Source organism: Homo sapiens, chromosome 2 (genome assembly GCF_000001405.40).
Source record: "Homo sapiens chromosome 2, GRCh38.p14 Primary Assembly".
Taxonomy (NCBI): Eukaryota; Metazoa; Chordata; class Mammalia; order Primates; family Hominidae; genus Homo; species Homo sapiens.
Window position 1 is genome coordinate 185,310,958 of NC_000002.12, and position 6,692 is coordinate 185,317,649.

The 6,692-nt window shown below is 33.0% G+C and overlaps 1 annotated feature.

Moving 5' to 3' along the window:
- Positions 5,506 to 5,645: an enhancer, noted in NCBI's record as "active region_16842". NCBI's record gives its function as "activates an Ori minimal core promoter by ATAC-STARR-seq in GM12878 lymphoblastoid cells {active_cell/tissue: GM12878}" and the evidence as "EXISTENCE:reporter gene assay evidence [ECO:0000049][PMID:35858748]".

Here is a 6,692-nt window from a genome sequence, read left to right on the forward strand (position 1 = left end):
AGATCTCTCAGGCATTATAACAGTCTATTGGCAATATATGTTCAACTAACTCAAGGTCCAGATTTTAATATTTGCATAACCATATTTGAGAGTATCAAGACATTTGAAAGATTTAAGCCTGACATAATCTGTAGATGCAATGTAAATAAAATTCATATAAAATTATCTAAATCTTAAAGAGTTTTTCTTTAAAGGACATACTAATTAGATCTCTAAAAAGAACTAAAATACTGCTTATATTTTTCTCATAAAATTCCTTATGTCTTGCGAAAATTAGCTTATGTTTCAGAATCCACTGAGTTCATAAACACTCCCTGAATGTTTTCACACTATGTAATTGTGTTGTGTGAGGAAAAAGTTTCTTTTTACCCTTAATTGTCTTCTAATGTATATTTCCCATATGGCAAGCTGCTGAGTGTAACAAAACAGTGATGCTAATGCTCTTTATGCTCTTCTATTTTATAGAAATTTCTTTGAAAGTAAAACAATAATCTAAAAAATTTTTAAAGTAATGGGGATGTCTACTACCATTTCTTCAGTAAGACTACCAAAATAACTCATTGATTAAATAAAGACAGGTTTATTGCTTACTGCAGTAAATTAGTGAACTACATTGACAGAGTCTTAGTGGTTTCTTGAAACAGGAAGATCAAGAATAAGATATTCACAAGATCTTGAGGGTTTGATCTCAGGTGATCCATTCAGTAAGAAGGCCTGTGTGAAACTGGGTCAAATTTGCCACTGGAGGATTCACTGAAGTGGGGTTTTTGCAATGAGATTTGGCAAGCCTGGTTGAGTAGTCTATGGTTGTGAGAAGTGGTAATTCTCCAGGAGAGATAGTTGAATATTCTATTCTTTGGATAACTGGGTTTTCATGAAGTTCCTGAAACAAAGTTATTTGTAACTTTATCTTCCTTGGTAAGCATTTTCTTGTAGAATAAGATGTTAGCACAGAATGTTGAACAGTAGAGTTATGTTAAAGCAGACATTAAGATTTCTGTTAGCAATAATTTTAAAGAACTTTACTATGAGAAATAACCTGATCAGTTATTATAAACACTTAAACTTATTATTAGTGATACATGAGTCTTTTCTGGAAATGCCATGTTTGCAATACTGAGGACTATATAAAATAGTAAGTTAGACAGTAATGTGAAAAAAATTAAATAACATAATAGTTAAAAGTATAAAAGCAGTACAAAGTGAATGTAATTTTAAAAACCACGAAATGGTTTCACAAAAATGTTTCTTGTAATGATTTTTACAATTTTTTCCAACATTTCAAAAATTTTGTAATATTTATTAATGTTTAAATCTAGATCAAGTCTACAGAAAGTCATTTCCCAAACCTACTTCTGATTACATATTATTCATGTTTATCACTTGTTGACACACAGTTTTTTCTCATTTATTTTCCCTAAAATAACAGCATTGCTATTTTACAAGTGATGGAAATATTAAAATTACCATAAACTCAGTGGCATGTATGAAACCTTCTATGTCCATCCAAGGTCATACCACCCTGAGGGTACCCAATCTCATCTGAAAATCTTTTATTCCAGCATCAGAGTCAATGATGTTAAATTTGTTAAAATATCAGTATAAAGGTATTTGCAATACTCAATAATTCAATAATCAACATTTTAGGTAAAATTTAAGATGATCAGTCAGGGAATATGAGACAAGTACTTTCAAATACAAGTTGGTAGTTATAATTTAAGTAGCGCAAAATATATTTTATTAGAATAAAATAAAAATTTAAAGGGGGTGATATTTTATTTGGGTATGAATGATTATCTTTTTTTGAGTAGAATATTTAGATCATAATCCCAAATGCCATAATCTCGAATATGGAAATCCGAAAAGGTCAATATCCCTAAAGTCTAAAATCTCTAAAATCTAAAATCCATAATGTCTAAAATCCTAAATCACAGTTCTGAAAGATTACAATCCTGAATGCTGAAATCCTGAAGGCCAAATTCTGGGGAAGACATTAGTGCACTGTCAGTTATACACAGGATAGTTGCATCATGTTAGGTGGATTTACTACCTTCTTAATGTCTTCATTTGGAAATGAAGTATGGCTTAAACAGATGTGTATGGCTACAAAGTTGACAAGAGGTAGATTTGTGGACTTAATATTAGGTGTCAATGTGACTGGATTAAGAAATACCTAGAAACTTGGTAAAGCATTATTTTGGGTGTGTCTCTGAGGATGTTTCCAGAGGAGATTAGTGTGTGAATATGAGTGGACTATGCGTTAAAGATCTGCCCTAAATGTTGGGGGATAGCATGGAATAGGCCAAGAACCCAGTGAGAACAAATACGGAAGGCAAACTGGTCTCTTTCTGAGAGCTGGGACCAAGTTCTGTTGCCTGGGACATCAGAACTCCATGCTCATCAGCCTTTGGAATCCAGAATTTACACCAATAATTTTTTTTTTATTTTTTTCCTCAGAATTACAATTTGGGGATATTGATCTTTTGGGATTGTGATTTTCAGAATTTTAAATCTCAGGAATTTTGATCTTTTGGTATTTCAACATTTATTATATGATTATGTCTTTCAGAATTATGGCCCAGTATCCTTTAAAAAAATCTTATCTCTTGTGGCCAGATCTAGATTTCTGAAAAGTGAACCTAAATTGTAATCCTGCAGGTGGCTGAATTGCAACACAAATGAATTCCCAATTTCACAAGGCCTCTTTTAATCAAAATTAGCATATTGATTGGGAAGGAATGAAATCCTAAGAGTTGGATTGGGCATAAGGCTGATTCTAATGAAGGTGTGTCATTTAATCCCTAAAGTCTTTCTTTGCCATTGGAAGCGGCTCTTTAGCCCTGCTTGAGCAGTTTAGTCTCCTTTTCAATAAAGACCTTAGTGGCCTCGCCTGAGGTAGCTACCTTACAAAGGACCGCTGATCCACCTCAGGACCTACCTCTGTCACCTCCCCTTCTTTCTTGGACCTATAACTAGAATCCAGACCTAGCGGATTTCAGGGGGTGAGATACAAAGTTCAATTCATGAGGAGGTGCTGTATATATATATATATATATATATATATATATATATATATATATATCAAAATGACTGTATGATTTTGCCAATTTACACATAGAAACTTTGGAAATATGGGTGACAGTGGATCACTTAATCACCAAAGACAAAATGGACAGGGTTACTGTTATGGACAATAGAGCTTAAGGAGGAGTCAGGATGGTCTATCTCACAGTCATCTTCAGGACTGGCTAGTTAATCATGGCGTCTCTAGAGATGAAATAGTTGGATAGCTTAATAAAGTTTTCCCTGATCTGTATAATTGAAAAAGCTGTAGGTTTCATGAACAGAAATTTGACTTGAATCACAGAGAGTAAAAGTACATCAATCAATTTTCAGACTTGAATCAGTTCACTGACCCAGAGCTTTGCAAATGAAGGAGTGGCCAGGTTCTACTACACTGCAAAAATGTACACTATTAATCTTCCATCTAGCCTCCCCAAAGGGACCTACAACCATTTACTATTAAGATGCCAGCTATTAAAATATGCTATTGGTGACTATATTATTTCTTAAAGCTGATCTTAAGTTGCTTCACAAATTATGTATATTACTAATTTTACCAACCTAATTTGATATGCATAAAGATGATATCATTATAATTATTTATATTTCTTCATTATATATACTGTACTATTGAGAATGGCAGTAGAAAAGTATCCGACTTATTAAGTAACTGAGAATTTACTTTTATATATGTTCACTATGCAATAATTATGAGGTAGAAGATTGATAATATTTTATGATTTGGTACGTAATTTGTGGTATAAACACAGAAGCAGAAAATGAATTGGATTTGTTTTATGGAATAATTATACAAAAATACAACATATTTATACATATGCAATATATATGTTTGTATATAATGCATACTATGAAGTGTAACTTACAAACAAAATGTGCATTTCCTAAAATTTTCTAATCTCATCAATTGTGTCTTTCTTTTCTCTGGTGTTTGCATAAGAATGTACTGGGAGTGAGAGAGATGGAGACTTGTAAGTAAGAATCAGTGTCTCTTGTTTTTAGTTCTCCTTTTTCTGTTTGTTTTATTTTTTAAGTTAATTCCTACCTGCTATTCGAAAGCAGGTCAGATACCTGAATTATTGCTTTGTTACATGATTATCTGTAAAGTCCTAGTTTTTCTTCATAATATTCACATTAAATCTAATGGTAAGGAATGAGGTGGGTTTTCTCAATAGGTAAAAAAATCTCCAATAGTGAATTTACCTAAGACATAGCGAATTATTTTATTATTGCAATAATCATTTTTGTCAATTGTGAATAAATAATGTCTTTCCATTTTCCTATCATTTTCACTGCCCTGACAGAAATAGGCTAAAATCAAAAATAGAGAAAATTACATATAGAAGTATTAAGTAAATATTAGTATACACACTTCATTATATTTTGATAAACTATTTTAAAACAGCATTAAATCATTGAAGTATTAGCTTTTCAAAAATAAGAAGATAAAATATTGGAGTAGGGGACTGCAATGGTGCATACATAATCCAACTTACATATTCAAAATGACAATGAGCTGACTAGTTATTTTTTTGTAGAAAAAAAATGACAATGAGCCAAACAGAACTGCTGTGAACAGATTGACCTGCTGAAATTTCACTTTTCCATTATTTGAAGCCTTAGTATTTTAGTATTTTTTAGATATATATAATGTCTCTCATTGTCTATACTTGGGAAAGAAATCCATTTTCTAACTATTAATTGAATAAATACTATATAAAAATAGTTAAGTAGTCACATACATCTTCCAAAGAAACACTATATTTTCCCTAAAATCTACAAAGGAAACTAAATTGTATTAGATGTTCACACTCAGTTGCAAAGTATTTATTTTTATAGATATAAAGGTAGTTATACTTTTCTCAATATTGACCTCTGAAATATTTTGTCTATAGCTGGTAATCTCAGTTGGTTATCAAGTATTGTACTAATTGTATTAACACAACAGATACATTTTCACTTTCTGAGCATGGTGAAAATACCATTAATATTAACCAACTAACCATCAAAAACAACTAATAATGTGTCAAAAACTAACAACCTTGAGGTGGGTATTGGAGATATTGGTATGACCACAATGTGAGCACAAACTAAAGATATATCTATGTAATATAAAAAGTGATGAAAATATGCAGCCCTTCTAGAACATCTTGAAATATCTAGAAAACTTCTCTCTGTACCTTGCCAATGGCACTGGATTAAAGGAAGGTATCAGTGGTGTATTAGTCCATTTTCACGCTGCTGATAAAGACATACCCAAGGCTGGGCAATTTACAGAAGAAAGAGTTTTATTGTACTTACGGCTCCACATGGCTGAAGAGACTTCACAATCATGGCAGATGGCAAGGAGCAGCAAGTCACATCTTACATGGATGGCAGCCGGCAAAGAGAGAGCTTGTGCAGGAAAACTCCCCCTTATAATAACCATCACATCTTGTGAGACTTACTGTCTTGAGAACAGCACAGGAAAGAACTTCCCCTATGATTCAATTACCTCCCACAGGGTCCCTCCTACAACATGTGAGAATTCAAGATGAGATGTGGGTGGGGACACAGCCAAACCACATCAAAGGGCTGAACCTTCTCTTCTACAGAAAGAGCAGGTTCATTGATAAGTGATAAGGATGAACCTAAAAAAGTACTCACAGTTTGGAGTAACAAGGTCCGACACTGTCACCAATTTCTTTGTGGTGAATTCACAGCATAATAAAGCAGTAAATTATTAATAGCCACTTGTGGGTAACAAGCATAAAAACTTTTCAGAGGTTGAAAATTGTTTTTGAGGAACAGGACACTGGCCTAGCAAAGAAGGTAGAAATTTATGGAACTTGTAACTATCCTGAATGTTGCAAGAAAAAAATAAGATTAGTTTACTTTAAAGTGGCTCAGAAAAAGCTCATTTCTCCTCTGTAGGTATTGCACATTCAATTGGCACTGTACCCCTCAGGTTATTCAGTGGCTGAGCTGGTAATGTTAATAACATTACCTACCTCCCATTTATTATCTGATGAGTCCAATAGAGATGTAATTGATAATTAGGGTCACTTGAAACCACAATAGTCAAAACTTAATTTATTTTGTTAAGTAAAGGTTTTTTAATTTTAAATAATTTTGTGTGTGAGACATTAAAAGTCTTTATAAAATGCCCTGTAGCTTTGCCTAGTCCAGCCTCTCTTTCAGTAGACAGTTCTGAATGGATATGATGCACTCACCTCTTTCAGCTCTTTGTGTGGTCTGAGTTATAAAATTCCTGTGAACATATGTCTGAAAATTAATACGGATGCAGATGCACACACCCATCCTTTTACATAATATGCACTAACATTCAGGCACTTGTACTCATCCTAAAATATTTTTATGCCTGTTACTTTACAATCTAGGACTACAACAATGAGTACCTCTGCCTTTTGCATTTGCATCACTAAAAAGCCACTGTGATGGTTGTCTTGGTTGAAAGGCACAGCTCGGATAAATTCTGGTAGTCAGCTCAAATCCTGCAAATTGCTAAATGACATAAAGTTTTGAAATTATTGTTTTTTTTGGACCTCAAATATAAATTGGTGATTTTCAAACCTGACTATTTTAGGGAGCTAGTGACCATCTGTGTGTGT